The sequence below is a fragment of the Homo sapiens genome, chromosome 8 (genome assembly GCF_000001405.40).
Source record: "Homo sapiens chromosome 8, GRCh38.p14 Primary Assembly".
NCBI lineage: Eukaryota > Metazoa > Chordata > Mammalia > Primates > Hominidae > Homo > Homo sapiens.
Genome location: NC_000008.11, coordinates 68,120,884 through 68,138,074, shown reverse-complemented (window position 1 = coordinate 68,138,074; position 17,191 = coordinate 68,120,884). Strand labels below are relative to the sequence as shown.

The 17,191-nt window shown below is 35.4% G+C and overlaps 1 protein-coding gene across 2 annotated transcripts in view; it reads right to left on the bottom strand.

The window, feature by feature from the left end:
* The window catches only part of PREX2 (phosphatidylinositol-3,4,5-trisphosphate dependent Rac exchange factor 2), a 284,987-nt gene that overhangs the window by 98,958 nt on the left and 168,838 nt on the right, over window positions 1-17,191 (bottom strand). For both annotated transcript variants that reach the window (NM_024870.4, XM_047422267.1), the window contains exons 30-32: window positions 17,026-17,154; window positions 10,656-10,697; window positions 3,799-4,016 (exon numbers count right to left, since the gene is read on the bottom strand). In NM_024870.4, the coding sequence (NP_079146.2) occupies window positions 3,799-4,016; window positions 10,656-10,697; window positions 17,026-17,154 (389 nt within the window). The remainder of the gene's footprint in view (window positions 1-3,798; window positions 4,017-10,655; window positions 10,698-17,025; window positions 17,155-17,191) is intronic.

Genomic DNA, 17,191 nt, shown 5'->3' with positions numbered 1-17,191 from the left:
TAAACTTCTAAAATCTTATAACATCTGAAAAGCAAAAATGTTGTTTTATTTAAAAGACAAACTACATAATAGCTATCCTATTTTATAATGAGATAACTTATTCATATTCATTTGCTATATTTAGTAACTGTGATTAAAATCAATTTTAATGTGTGATTATTTGGCTTCCAACGAGCTTGGGAGCAAGAATCATTTTCACCTCACTTGGCTTTATGGCGTCTTAGTCTAGAATCTTGTGAGTAACAGATCTGGTTTGTTTTAATCATTCGTCTCATTCTTATAGCATATAGTTTTATAGCTAAGGCAAGTAAGGCCCAGACATTAAAAAAGTTAGTGTGTGTCTCAGTGATGTCATCTTTCTGGTACTAGCTTCTGGCCTTCCTATTAGGAGTTTAATGCATTATTTACAGGGTCTTTTAATAGTTTTATCATGAAAATATAATTAACTTTGTCATACATAGCTTATCTTCTAAAGGTAATATTTGTTTCCTTAAGAATGTCAATGGTCAGGCACGGTGGCTCACACCTGTAACCCCAGCACTTTGGGAGGCCGAGGCAGGAGGATCACTTGAGCCCAGGAGTTCAAGACCAGCTTGAGCAACATAGTGAGACACTATCTCTCAAAAAATCAAAAAATTATCTGGGTATGGTGGCATGCACCTATGTAACCTCCCAGTTACTTGGGAGGCTGAAGTGGGAAGATCACTTGAGCGCAGGAGGTTGAGGCTGCAGTGAGCCAAGATTGCACTGCTACACTCCAGCCTGGGCGACAGAGCAAGACCCCATCTCTTAAAAAAAATAAAATGTCAATGATCCTTTTAAACAGTTAGTTTAACATGTTGTATACAGCATTTGTAAAAGTTGCTGTAGGCCAGGCATGGTGGCTCACGCCTGTAAGCCCAACAGTTTGCGGGGCTGAGATGGGTGGATCACCTGAGGTCAGGAGTTCAAGACCAGCCTGACAAAAATGGTGAAACCCTGTCTCTACTAAAAATACAAAAATTAGCTGAGCATCGTGGTGCACACCTATAATCCCAGCTACTTGGGAGGCTGAGACAGGAGAATCACTTGAACCTGGGAGCCAGAGGTCGCAGTGAGCTGAGATTGCGCCACTGCACTCCAGCCTGGGTGACAGAGTGAGACTCTGTCTCAAAAAAAAAAAAAAGTTGCTGTAACCTCGTAGCCAAATCTGGGGGCAGCATCAGTAGAAGATGAAGGAGGTGGTAAAGAATTTCCATTCTGTGAAAAAGAATCAGTGGAGGTAGCCCCAGACCCCAAAGGAGGGCAGCGTGGAGACACAAAGAGGTTGGAAGAACTGTCACCTTTGTACCTTGGTGTGATGTTTAATATAGTGCACAGTACACAGTAAGTACTGGAAAAATGTTTATTAAACCATTATCTTAAAAAAATCCTTTTGAAGCAGCAAAAAAATGTCATGACCCTAGAAAGAAAGGACAGGACTGAAGAATCAGTGCATTTTCCGGTAGACAGAAATTCACAAAGCAAGAAATGTTCCAGACAGTGTGGCCTTTGAGAGCTACAGCACAAGCCATGGTGTTCCAGCAAACATTGCCAAAGCCAGGCCCAAGTGACCACTGGCTGTGCCTCGCACTCAGGGGCACACAGACCACCAGAGCGCTGCTCCTAGAGCCATTCACATTCCTGGGTGGATGTTTTCTTTCTGCCTTTGTGACAGAAGCAGAAAGACTATGGGTTTCTTGAATTTTTCTTTCCTTAGCAACCTCTCTATTTTCTTTTTAAAATCAATTCCTTAAATAAATTTAAGGGTTTCACAAGACCAGTTGAAAAAAAACCACACCGCTTCATTGAGATATAACTCACATACTGTAAAATTCACCCATTTAAAATGTATAGCTCAGGGGTTTTACTATATTCACAGAGCTGTCCAGCTAGCACCATTGTCTAACTTTAGAATATTTTTATCAACCCCCAAAGATAACCAATACCCAATAGTATTCACTCCTCATTTTCCTGCCCCCAACCATCAGCTGTAGGCAACCACTAGTCTACTTTCTGCCTCTAAAATGTACCTAGTTAGTACATTTCACCATAATGGAATCAAACTATATGAGGTCTTTTGTGACTGGCTTATTTCACTTAGTATAATGCTTTCAGTGTTTATCCATGTTGTAGCATGTATCAGTACTCCATTCCATTTTATTGCTGAATAATATTCCATTATATGGACACATCACATTTTGTTTATCCATTCATCAGTTGATGGACATATAAGTTGTTTCCATTTTTTAGCTACTATGAATAATCTTGCTAGGAATGTTTGCATACAAGATTTTGTGTGAATGTAAGTTTTCATTTATTTTAGATATTATCTAGAAATCCTATTTCTAGGTAATATGGAAACTCTGTGGTTCATATTTTGAAGAACTGCCAAACCAGTTTCCAAAATGGCTGTGCCACTTCCCACAAGCAACTTAGGAGGGTGACAAAATTTCTCCACATCCTCCCCAAAACTTATTACTATCTGTCTTTTGTATTACAGCCATCCATATCACATGCATTGTGGTATTTCACTGTGGTTTTGAGTTGCATTTCTCTAATGGCTAATGATGTTGATCATCTTTTCATGTGCTTTTTGGACATTTTTATATCTTTGGAGAAATATCTATTCAAATCCTTTGTCTACTTTTTAATTGGTTATTTGTCATTTTACTGTTGAATTTTAAGGGTTCTTTATATATTCTGCATATGTCACTCATCAAATATATGATTTGTAAATATTTTCTCATATTCTTTGAGATTTCCAATAAAATTAAAGTAAAAGCACCGGCACTTGATTAGACAATGGCAGTTTAAAAGTAAGGAAAATAGAATAGAAATAAAATAAAGCCTTACTCATTTACACATTCATTCAACAGATAATTGATGCCTACCATGTGTTAAAAAGTAGGCTTCCTATCATATGTAATTCACACACACACACACACACACACACAAAATTTGTTTTTAAGCTCAAACATGTTACTTGGTAGCTACATTTTCTATGTGTACTTTAACAGATGAAATAGGCTCTCATGTTTAAAATCACAGTTCTATTCAGTGATCACCTAACATTTATATATTAAAGTGAACACATTTGCTTTTAAACATGATGATAACTATCCAAACCACAGGAGGTATACGTGAAAAAACTCTTAAGTTCACCACAGTTTTATTTTTCAAATATTTCAAGATGCTTTCATCATATCCACTGTGGAAACCCAATGCATAAACATAGAATATTCTACAGTAATTAAGGCAATGCTCTTCGATTTAACAGGACAAACATGCATACAAAGAAAAGAACTAAAATTATTTAACATATGCAAATTTTAAACAGATTGTCAGGCAGTATGGTATTTGAGCTCTCCAAGCTTGGCTCTCAAGCCTGCTCCAGGACATCCATCTCAATAGGAGCTTTGGTTTCACAGCAGCCTGTGTCCTTCGACTGGGAATAAGGAACAGCAGCAGAAAGACCCTTTTTCTTCTGATGACCTTCTCCAGTCAGCGTGTAGGGATACAAGAATTAGTAACAGATGGAGGCTTTCTCAGCTTTTAGCAGCCACAGAGAAGAGATACAAATCAGGAAAGAAGGAATACATTCTACATACTTATTAAAATTTGAAGGACCACAGAAAAATGTATATTTTTAAAGTAGCTGAATGCACGCACATTCATAGAGATAACCAGCGGGAAAGAAATAACTACTTCTTATTTCAAAACATGTTACAGTGCAGGTTACAGTTGACACAGACAGTGGGAGTCATGTGATTTCCTTACCAAGTTTGGTGACAGAAGTGACTGAAAGTGAAAAAGAACACCTGCATTCGCTATCTGGTCCAGCCACCTCCTGCTGGCTTCCCAAGTTTCCATCTCATTTTCCTTGCTGTTGTCAAACATCTGGTTCAAGGCCGCCATGAGCTGCTCAGAGAAGGCACAGACAGTGGCCACAAGAGTCTGGCAGAAAACCATGTCTCTACGGAGCTGTGTCTCACTATCTGTGATCAAAGAGAACATAGAGAATGCTTCGAAAAATGTTGCAGATGGTGAAAACCAATGCGTTCAGCATCTACATTCACTAGCATTTCATCTTTTCACTAAACTCACGCATGTGAAAAATGTGAATTTGAGCTCTATAAATGACCACACACATTCTAGCAAATATGCTTTACAGAAAACACTAAACACCAAAAAACGTTAGAAATATTAAAATATTTTTTCCTAATCAATATTGTGACTCTATTCTAGAATCATTAAATTGTTTGATAAAATCTGAGGGAGAAAAATAAGGCTTCATTTATTTATATTTTCTATACCTGATGGGACACAATTTGCATTTGCTGCAATGACATTTTCCTAAACAAAACTCAAAGTCCAATTCGTCAGTTTTTGTTGGCAAATTAGATACAATATTATTAATACAATTTTAAAAATTAACAACTAAACCTACTCAAATACTAATGTGAAATACACATGGGGAAAAAGAGTATACGATGTTCAATTGTTTGCAATTATAAGCAAATCTGTCTCTCCTGAATGGAGTTATTAAATTTCATGAGCTATAAGTATGTTCTAATATATAAGAATATGAATTCCTATAATTCTTTCAAATAAGTAATATATTTATAGTTTTAGTATGAATTGATTTGTATATGTTTACCAGGATTCTTATCCTGCAATTGACTGGAGTTTTGGTTAACCCACTGATATGGTTAGGCTTTATGTCCCCACCCAAATCTCATCTTGAATTGTAATCCCCAGGTGTTGAGGAAGAGACCGGGCGGAAAGTGATTGGATTATGGGGGTGGTTTCTCCCATGCTGTTCTTGTGATAGTGAGTGAATTTTCACGAGATCTGATGGTTTTATACATGGCAGTTTTTCCTGTGTTCTGACACACACGCTCTCTGCTCTCTCTTGCCTGCCGCCATGTAAGACATGCCTCCTTCCCCTTCTGCCTTCTCCCATTCTAAGTTTTCTGAGGCCTTCCTGGCTATGCATAACTGTGAGTCAATTAAACTTCTTTCCTTTATAAAGTACCCACAATCTCAGGTATTTCTTTATAGCAGTGAGAAAATAGACCAATACACCCACTTTGAAGATATGTTTACACTGTGAAATTCTGAACTAGAGATTTTTCAAACGGAAAGAAGCTAACACACAGAGTTCATTTCTTCAGGTGGTTGGATATATACAAACTACAGAAACACAAAGCCACACATTCCACATATTGGAAAATCACTTCCACTAGAAGTGGAAACAACAAAGGGAAAAATAACCTCCTCTCAAATGTGTACTAAATATTTCAAGGGTTCATAGACTCTTCTGGAATAAAGAAGCATTGTCAATATTAGTGTATAACACAGAGATAAATGCTGACTTTATTCAGTGGTGAGCTCCTGTTTTATTGACAAAAAAGGCATAATTTTTAAGATTTACCAAGAACACTGAACATCTGTTTTTAATAACCATCAAAGGCATGTGTACACATAATTTAGTTTCTATGATACTCGGTTTCACTGTAAAACCTACTCTTGAAAATTTTATTAGAAAGATAATTAAATATTTAAAATATTTAATTTTGTATCTGAATATTCACTTATTAGGCTCAACTATAGAAACATGCTGCTTTGGTAGGTTAAAATGGTGGAATGTGGCCATTCCATATGGCTCAATTTACTAACTTAACCAACAACATGTGCCCCATGCTACTAGATAGGAAAGGGCATTTATAGATAACTATAAAATCTCTAAACTGGAAATGAACTTTGTCCAATCCTCAAGAAAAAAAACTAAACACCTATTTTGTTGTGCACAATTTCTATCACAGTAGACATTGAACAAATGTTTACTAAGTCAATGATTAAAATAAAGAGTCAGTGGCACTAAAAATAAATAAAAAAGTGAAATGAAAAGACATGAGTTCATTCTCTGGTTTCTTGAAATATCTGGATTTAATTTTACTTAAGAGGCTAATTCAGATAGCTTGTTAGCTCCAGTGTGCACCTAGGGTACTGAGGTTCACGACAGAAACTAAATAAGTAAAATAAATTGCCCTACATCTTTGTTGAAAATTATTACTTTGTTTTTCATATGTTCTATAGTGAAGCAGAAAATCTGGGTGAATTTTTAAAAATACTTCAGTAGATTTGGCAGAAATACTCCCACCCATACCTTGAAAATGATTTAATAAAAATCTAATTGGAAAGAAATTATGGATATTGAGTGAAAAGCAAAAATCTAGAGAAAGAAGGATCTGCACTGTAAGCTTTCACAAAAATCACCAGGATTAATAACTTTGCCACTGGTAGAAATAATTATTTCCAAGTTTCTTTTGTGAAAAAGTTCTTTTCTATTTTTATCCTAAAAAGAATACTTAGATGTTTATTCTATACTCTGCTACTATATACTATTTGCATTTAAGCCAAAATAAGATTTTTCCTTCAACCTCTTTATCAAATCAGAACTGATTGCAATTAACGTCAACTTTTCAGTGTGCAAAACCAAAGCCTGTTGATAACTTGTAGTTATTTTCATTCACCAATTCAAATGTTTAACACTGAATGAATACCCTACAGGAATTGACAGCTGCAACAACTACTAGAGGATCCAAGCTGGGGCCTCAGCCATATTGAATAAAAATTCATATTTCATGAGATAATTTTCTGTTGCCACCTTCCTATTTTCAGCAGAGAGTAGATGAATTGTTCGCACAGATTCAAAATGTACATATTATATCAAGAGCTTTTCAAGTTAACTTTTTACAAACCATCATCTCACAGTGAATAACAAAGTTAGAAAACAGTGGCATAAGCGGGACCTTGTGACCTATCCCCTATTTATATTTACAGCTTCTCAACATACCACTTCCCTCCATTCATTCCACACTACAGCAACAATGTTCACAGAATTATTGGGAGAGCACATTAAAACAACATATCTGAAAGCAGTCAGAAGTGTGGGGTACACAGACCTGTCCTCTTTGAGCCACACAGTACCGCTCAGCAGTCCTCAAATACCAAATGCCCTATGGCGTACACTGGGCCTATACCTTTCTTCCAGATGCATTGCATGCCCTTGTCCTTCTCCTCTGCCTAGCAAACTTTAAATCAATCTTTAAGAGTCAACTCATCAAACTATTGAAACTCATTGAAAGATTATCTCCCCTTGTGAAATTCCCCTCTCCCCAAGGAAGTACTGGGGCTCTTCTTCTGGTCACCATAGACCTGGGGGTATCCTTCTACTGGAGGGCTAATTATATAGCACAGTGGGCATTCATTTATGAGTCTGTGTTCCCAAGCAACCATCAGTACATCAAGGCCAGAGAAGTGGCCTGTGACTTAGGCTCACCCTCCTTAGAGGCATATCATCTGCTTTCAACCAACCATTCTAAGCCATATTTTAGGTATCAGATCCCCATGTGGAAAATGGGGTTCATTCCTCCTTCTTAGGTCTACAGTAAAGATAAATGAGATAAAAAGTATTTAAAGCACTTAACAAAGTAAAGTGGTGTAGCATTATCATTGTGATTCTTCTTTTTGTTTAGCATCTAGCACCGTGTCTGGCACTGAGTAGGTGCTCAGCTTTATTGCTCATGGAGAAGGAGCAATTTGTTACATAAATACAACAAAATCTACTAACTCTCAGCAAAAATATCCAGGTCTTTTTCTTTCAATTATGCAACCATTCAAAATTTACAAGTATCCATCCTTTACCAAAGGTATTTTTGGGTTTTTTGTGTGTTTTTGTTTCGTTTTGTTTTGTTTTTTAAGAGAGCATCTTGCTCTGTCACCCAGGCTGGAGTACAGTGGCACGATCATAGCTCACTGCAGGTTCAAACTCCCAGGCTCAAGAGATCCTCCTACCTTGGCCTCCCAAATAGCTGGGACTGCAGGTGTGTGCCATCACATCTGGCTAATTTTTAATTTTTTTTTTTTTTTTTTTGCAGAGGCAGGGCCTCACTATGATATCCAGGCTGGTCTCAAACTCCTAACCTCAAATAATCCTCCATCCTCAGCCTCCCAAAGTGCTGGGATTATAAACATGGACCAGGGCACACTGCCTTCATTTCCTATTTTTTATGAATAAGAAAGAACTACAGCAAAAATCACATCTGCTTTCAGCTACTAGCAAAAGAAGAAAAACAGAGAATTTGAGGGTTTTTTTTTTTTTGCTTACTATTGTTGTAGAGTAAGATTTTTATTATTTATTTTTATCATAGAGTAATATTTTTCTTATAGTGAGAGTACACTCAAAAGAAATGGTTTTTGTACCTATCAAAGGCTTCGGTTTCATTTCAGTATTTAAGCACCTATTTAAACTCATCTTCTAACACATGTTTTAAATTACACTATTTAATCTTGGCTGTTTAGAAGTTTAAGATCTGTAATTAGCTAGCTGGTCTAAAAAGAATGAGATGGTTTCTAGACACACAAAAGCAATCTCAGAAATTATTCTAGCACAGAGATTGCAGGGAAAATAAAGCAAAATAAACAACAAAAAAGGAGATTAGAAAAAGAGAAAGGTAGAAATAAAAGGAGGTTAAGAATATTTAAAAGACACAGTCTACCCTTTTCAAATAAACATAATTTCGCAGCCAAAAATATAAAGTATTTTGGCTCCTGTTTTGGTGTCATCCTATATAGAAGAGGGGAGAGAGGGTGAGCAAATAAAGCAGGAAAATAAAGAATCATAAGAGGAATAGAAAAATAAAATTGAAATCAAAATAAAAATCTACCAGAGCATCCATTTGAGCATTAATGAATAAAACGAAGCATCCCAGAATCACCTCCGGAATTGGCAAACCTAAGTTTGAATTTCAAAACTGCCACCTACTATTTATTCATTTATTCAATAAGGCATCAATATGCCTAACCTTCTAGATGCTCCAACGTCAGTGTTGACTGTATACTATGTGCTGGTTATTATTAATCTGCCAGAATGTCAATTTCTTCACCTTTAAAACTGTGGAAACAATAATATTCTCACATAGTGGGTTGTGGGGATCCAGTGAAATCCAAGAAAATGAGGTCCATGAATTGTGTTATTAGTAAAGCTCAGAAACTCTCAGATATTTTTGTCATTATTATTACTCAGTCAAAAAGCAAGGCAAAACCTTTTTTCATTAGGGCAAAAAACCAATGGACAAATAAAAAAGCCTTGTTGGTTAACTCGGTCCATTCATAATTTAAAATTTCCAAGTGTGGTACTTTGGAAAAGTGGTCACAAATTCTTTCCCTGCCTGTATCCACACTCTTGTAATGTAATTTTGAGACCCTTTCCTTCAAAAGTAGAATCTATGTCTCTACCCCTTAAGTCTGGCCTTGCCAGTTACATGCTGGGGCCAGTAGAAGGTGGCAAGCTCTTCGACATTCCCACTGTCTTCCTGGAACCCTGCAAATCCACCATGTGAACAAGAACAGGCTAGCCTCATAGATGATGAGAGACAGGCAGTCCAGGCAGCCCTGTTACCTCAGCTAACAGCCAGCCAAATGTTACATATGTGAGCAAGGCCACCCTAGATCACCTGTGCCTAGCCAACCCACCACCTGACTGCAGACACATGTGCAAACCCAGCCAAGATCAATAAAACCTGGCACAGACCACCAGAAATGGCCAGATGACACTAGACAGGTAAGCAATAAGAAATGGTCATTGTTTTATGCCAGAAAGTTTGGGGAATTTTTTTAAACACAACAAAAGCTAACTGCTATCACAAGTAATCATTCAGGTTATATTTTTTAGGAACAAATCCCTATCAACATCTAGTTAATGTAATAGAATTTCTGTGTATACACATACACATACTTTATGGGAAATAGATTAAAATAATAAAAGTAACTCATTCAACATATCTATATATCTCTGAATCTACAGAAAGAGACGCACAGCAGGCTAACATCAAACTGTTCACTGTAATTAAATGGCATGTAGTTGAGTTTTCCCAATCTTTACGATCTATTTCCTTGTAAATGCATTTTGAATGAAAACCTTGTTGAAATATTTCATACATTTTTCCTTTTTTCATTCATATAATTTTTCATTCATTTTTGCCATAAATATTTGTTGAATATCTATATGCCAGCCACTATTTTAGGCATTTGCTGATGAACAAAATAGACATAGTGCCTGCCTTTATGACATTTACAGTCTATCATCTGCAATTTAGAATCTCATCAAATATTTAATTGTCCTTTAGTGTCATTTTCCATTACCAATATTTTTTGAGCTCCCACTAAGTGCATGGTAAAAGTGTTTTAATGTAAGATTTGTAAAATGTTTACATACATTCATTCTTGCTCATAAACAAAATTTAGACACAATTAACTTTAGCAAAACCTACTCCCTTTCTCCTGTTTAATAATATTTTGTTTAAATCTATATTCATATATGTTTTCATGGTTTTGCTTATAAGAGAATACAAGTATGTGTGTATATATATATATGTATATATATATATTTGCATTTTTATTAAAATGATGTGAGTACTTTTTCTAATCTTTCCAAAGCTTTGGAGAAGGTAGGGATCATATTTCTATTTTGTAAATGGTTGAAGGCGTTGTCCTCAAATTTCAAGGCCTTTATGATCCTGGGCCACAATCACTTAAATAGTAAAAAAAAATAAAATGCAAAATGTTACCTGAATATTCAAGAAGAGCCAGGAGTAGCCTACACTTTACCTCTGCAGAGAAAGAAAACACATCAGTTAATTGTTCACTCTTTCTGTCACAAATACCATATTTTAACTGTGTAGTCAAAATTAGTATGATCTTATTGGACTAGGTTCATGCAAAAGTAGTTGTGGTTTTGCCATTACTTTCAATGGATGGCAAAAACAGCAATTACTTTTGCACCAACCTAATATTAGATAATAAAAATCAATTCACTTGACATGCTACGCTTGCCTGTTTGCCTACACAAATTCTATCCATTGTTCAAGATCCTGAAATGTCTCTGAATTATATCAGTCAATGAAACACCATTCAAATCCTGGCAGCTTTTTAGGTCATCCTTAGCTGTTTTAGCCTGCTTGGTGTTCTGCAAGCTACAACTGTTGTAATCACTAGCAATAAACTGTCAAACAATATTTTTGCTACTGTTATTTAAACTTTCAAAGTTTACACATGTGTGTATATATATATACACACACACGTATATATGTATATATATATTACACACATATATATACACACACACATACGTGTGTGTATATATATACTCTTCTTCCAACTCCAACCCACACAGGGTCAATCACAGATGTTTGATAAATGTGTATGAATTTCATACGAATTGCTAGGTGTCCAATGAGTTACATGTCCATTTGTTTCCAACTAACAAATAATTATAGTTTATGTGCAATAGGTAAATTTAAAAACTTACAAAGTTCCTGCTAAATGCCCAAGATTATGGGAAAAAAAAGATTAAGTTATATCCTATTCTAGACAGATTCACAGTAGAGTCAGAAAGACAGAATTGACTGAAAAGAAATGCAGGAAATACTTCAAAGGGCACCACATTTTACAAGTGAGACTGAAAGCAGAAAAGGATTTCAGAGGCAGCAAAGTACAATAAGCTAAGAGTCAGAAGACTGCTGTTATATACTAGCTTTGTGGCTTTAGAAAATTGCTAAATTACTTTGAGTCTCAATTAACTCATTCATAAATGAAGATAACATCTGCCTTATCTATTTTACAGGTCTGTGTAAAATATAAGTGAGAATATGTGTGAAAAGTCTTTGAAATTTGTTTAAAATCCTATATACAGGTGAAGACTGTTATTATTGTAATCTGAATCTGGCCAAAGTTGGTATAGAATTCTAAATGAGACTAGAAAATATTTCATAAAACTTTAAATTATCACTGTCAAGAAAAGAGATACATATTCTAAGATTGAGAGATTTTGCTAGCAAAGGAATATAGTAGAGAATGAATAACAATTATCTAACAATCTAGCCTACAGAGATTTTATTATATCATTAAGAGACTGAGATTGGGATATGATTAGAAAGCCCCACTGAAAAATGGCTTCTAACAGATCAATGTGTTTAGTCTTACCTAATAGAAAATCACCGCAAGACTCTGTGACACAGTAGTGAAATTATGAACACGATATTTTAGGAAGATGAATCTCGTAATGGTTTTAAGAATCATAAAAAGATAGGGAGAGGGACGTTAGCCAGAAAAATCATTGTAATTACTGAAGTGTGATGAAAAAGGGAAAAACTGAAGAGACACTCTTTAGAATATTGGGACAAATGCAGGGAAAAAACTTTCTAAAATATAGGTTGCTAAAAAAAATATGAGATTTAGAATAAAGCATTTTTCTTTATAGGGAACAGAAAGTTGAAAATGTGTTCACTAATAAACATCTGAATTTAAGGTGATGGTGGGCTACTCAAATAAAAATCTCTTCATTCAGCTGATAATATGAGGCCATAACTTACCTCAGAGGTTAAGCAGGAGATAGGCATCGTCTTAGGGACACCATATAATTAATCTGTCCTCACTTAATTCACTATCTTCTCTGCTCTCTTCTACACACAGTTTAATCTGCTATGAATGGGTGAGTATATAATGATACAATTTTTGAATAGCACTGCAACAGTTCTAAATAAAGATCATAGAATTATGACACCTTGATATCACCTGTGGTATATAACAGATGGGGTATTTTGAAATCGGAGACTAGGAAAAACATTAGAAATGGGGTCATCCCAGCTGCTTATATAAACCAAGAAATTCTGGCCTGGTAGCACCAGGTTAAATTAAGTTCCAAGATCTAACCTTTCATTAAGTCATTCACTATATAAAGACAGTCTAGGAAGTAGAATGAAAATGACTTAAGTTGAATAGGATAAATTCATGCTGAACTAGCAAAGTTACTCAGAGTGCCTCCACATAACAAGCAACTGATTTCAATGATCCTAATGCTTTTTTAACTCCTAACAGGACCGGACATCACACAGATTACCAGGAAATGGTAGCATGCCCTCTCGCTTGCATAGTCCATTGAGATGAAGCAAAATGTAATCATTTTTAAAGACTCACTTAACATGGTGACAATCACAGCTGTTACCCAAACAGCTCACTGAAACTCACTGAAATTTGCAACCAGAGATGCAACTAAATTCTACAGAGAGCCCTCCCCACACCATTGACTATAAGACTCTCAGCCCATCCAACCACACTCAACTAGCCATTGGACTCCCATGACCAAGAGTGGCACCCAAATTCACAACACATATCAATCAATCCATCAATCAGTATGTATATAGTTATCATTCCTATAGCTGCTTATTGTGACATGAGTTACAGAGAATACAAAAGCAGGTCTTGAAATGAAAATGTAAGATTCTTAAAATGAGTACTTTTTGAAAAATTAAACTTTTTATCCTGCATTAGAAATATATTTTTTTAAACTTTTAAGTTCAAGGGTACATGTGCAGGTTTCTTATATAGGTACACTTGTGTCATGGGGGTTTGTTGTACAGATTATTTCATCACCCAGGTATTAAGCCTAATACCCATTAAGTATTTTTTCTGATCCTCTCCCTCCTCCTACCCTTCACCTTCTGATAGGCCCCAGTATGTGTTGTTCCTCTCTTTGTGTCCATGTGTTCTCATCATTTAGCTTCCACTTATAAATGAGAACATGTGGTATTTGGTTTTCTCTTCCTGTGTTAGTTTGCTAAGGATAATGGACTCCAGCTCCATTCATGTTTCTGCAAAGGACATTAGCTCATTCTTTTTTATGGCTGCATAGTATTCCCTGGAATACAGGTACCACATTTTCTTTATCCAGTCTACCACTGATGGGCATTTGAGCTGATTTCATGTCTTTGGTATTGTGAGCAGTCCTGCAACGAACATACGTGTGCACATATCTTTATGATAGAATGATTTATATTCCTTTGTTTATATGATGAACCACATTTGTTGATTTGAGTATGTTGAACCAACTTTGCGTCCCAAGGATAAAGACTACTTGATCATGGTAGGTAAGCTTTTTGATGTGATGCTGGATTTGGTTTGCCAGGATTTTGTTGAAGATTTCTGCATTGATGTTCATAAAGAATACTGGCCTGAAGTTTTCTTTTTGTTGTTGTATCTCTGCCAGTTTTTGGTATCAGGATAGTGCTGGCCTCCTAGAATAAGTTAGGGAGGAGTCCCTCCTCCTCAATTCTTTGAAATAGTTTTGATAGAAACTGTACCAGCTCTTCTGTGTACATCTGGTAGAATTTGGCTGTTAATCTCTCTGGTTCCAGGCTTTTTTTTTTGGTTGGCAGGCTATTTATTACTGATTCAACTTTGGAGCTTGTTATGGAGGTCTGTTCAGGGATTCAATTTCTTTCTGGTTCAGTCTTGGGAGGGTGCATGTGTCCAGGAATTTATCCATTTCTTTTAGATTTTGTAGTTTATGTGCATAGAGGTGTCCATAGTTATGGTATTTATGTGTAAATGCACATAACATGATAGTTATGTGTATTTCTGTGGGGTCAGTGGTAATATCTCCTTTGTCATTTCTAATGTGTTTGTTTGGATCTTCTCTCTTTTCTTCTTTACTAGCCCAGCTAGTGGTCTATCTACTTTATTAATTTTTTCAAAAATCAACTCCTAGATTCATTGATCTTTTAAATGGTTTTTTGTATCTCAATCTCTTTCAGTTCAGCTCTGATTTTAGTTATTTCTTGTCCTCTGGCACCTTTGGGTTTGATTTTCTCTTGCTTCTATAGTTCTTTTGGTTGTGGTGTTAGGTTTATAAATCAAGATCTTTCTAACTTTTGGATATGGGCATTTAGTGCGACAAATTTTCCTCTTAACATTGCCTTAGCTGTGTCCCAGAGAGTCTGGTATGCTTTACCTTTGCTCTCATTAATTTCCCAGATTTATAAAGCAAGTTCTTAGAGAACTTCAGAGAGTCTTAGACTCCCACACAATAATAGTTGGAGACTTCAACAACCCACTGTCAGTATTAGACAGATCATCAAGGCAGAAGATTAACAAAGATATTCAGGACCTGAACTCAGCACTGATCAAATGGTCCTGATAGACATCTACAGATATCTCTATCCCAATACAACAGAATATACATTCTTCCCATCACCACATGGCACATACACTAAAATCGATGACATAATCAGACATAAAACGCTTCTCAGCAAATGCAAAAGAAGTGAAATCATAACAACCACTCTCTCAGACAATAACACAATCAAATTAGAAATAAAGATTAAGAAATTCACTCAAAACCATACAATTACATGGATATTGAATAACCTGCCCTTGAATAACTTTTGGATAAATAGTAAAATTAACGCAGAAGCCAAGAAGTTCTTTGAATCTAATGAGAGCATTAGAAATTTCTATCTGAAAGATAAAATTGTTCAAAACAAAAAAGTGGGGGAGATGATTTAAGGATTTCTCCATTCCTAGCCAATATGCATTTACCTTAAAACAAATATAAAATCTCAAAGATGATGAGAACAACTGCAGAATTATAGTTTCTAGTAGTGTCATAATACTGGCATCTATTCAGCAGAAATGTCTTTTACTCAGTAAAGTATATACTTAAATTTCTAAAACATAATAGTTTTTCAAAAATGCATTTAACATTTATGCTATTCATATTTTGGGGAATTTTAAATTCAGACTTTTCATTAAATATTATGTTATAAAGTATCACAGATAAACATTACATTAGGCCATAAAATAAAAATATAGCCAAGAAAACCAGCTGTCAAATACACGATTTTATCGCAAGATAGAATCACTATGATTTATTTGGGGAAGTATTCCATATCTGTACAAATTTCCTTTCTACTAATCTCTAAACATAAGTTGTTATATTTGAGTATAAGTCTATGCAGAAGACTTAGTAATCACAGAACATTTAAGCCATCTCTGTCATTTAATAAATGTGGAAGTTGAAGCCTAAAAGAGTTAAGTGACTAACTCAGACTCCATTTGATATAAGGGGTTGTCTTTTGTCAGCAAAATTTACAGCTCTCTTTAATTTACCCCACTTAAGGTAATAACTGCAGTTACACTGTAATTCTGTTAAATACCATTGAATACTATTGACCACAACCAACTGACAAACAAATGACTGAAGAATAAAAATGTAAACACAGGAATAGTATTTATTGTGTGGGTTTCTCGACCTTAGCACTATTAACATTTTGTATCAGAGAATTCTTCCTTGTAAGGAACTGTCTCATACATTCTAGAATGTTCAGCAGCATCCCTGGCCTCTATCTAGAGGTCAGTAGCACACCCACAATTGTGACAACCAATACCTCCAGATGTTGCCAACCACTGTTCTAATCACTGGGAAGAAAATTTCTGAGTTATATATTTTTACAACTAGGTGAATTCTCATTTTATCTTTTCCACCATAATCATTTTTGAAACTCTCAGAATTTTCACTTAATCACACTGATTCTAAACAACATGCAATCTATCTCAATGAAGTCGTCTCAAAGTCATATATCTCCAATTTACAGGTTTTACCAATTATAGAATGTCATGTAAATAATGTTATGGTAGTTAATAGCAATCAACTTAGACAAACACTTCTGATATAAAAACTTAAAAATCAATGATGCAACCTATGTGATTATTTTGATTCTCATACAGCTTCACAACTGATTTTTTTTTTGTGGATAAACTTTTGCTTCATGCCTTTTTGTAAATCCTTCAGAATTTGTTTATGATATTGTCTCCTTTTATAGAGTCTTAAATTCTCTTCACGTTCTATTTGTCTTCATAACTTTGAGCCCTTATTTTATTCACTGAGAATATTCTCCATGATGTTTATAACCTTGGGACACAAGACCCTATAATCTTATTCCTTCTTGCCCTCTTCCTCCCTCACCATTTTCAGTACTTTTATTTTCTTCACAAAAGGAAACACTGCAAAAAATAATCAGGCATTACCAAACTTTTGGTTTTAGTGGGTTTTAAATTGATTATTGCTAATATCATGCAATGTTCTTTGCTTTTCATGCTGACCTTCAACAAATTTCCTGATGTTCTGAGCAAGAGTCCGGACGCTGCTGGGAAGATTCCAAGGATCTTGCTTGATATGAAGCCGTAGCCTTTTTGGACAACTCAGCTTTGGTTCCATTTCCTGTTGAAATTCTAAATAAACACAGAAAATCTCTCTTAAGTCTCAAAT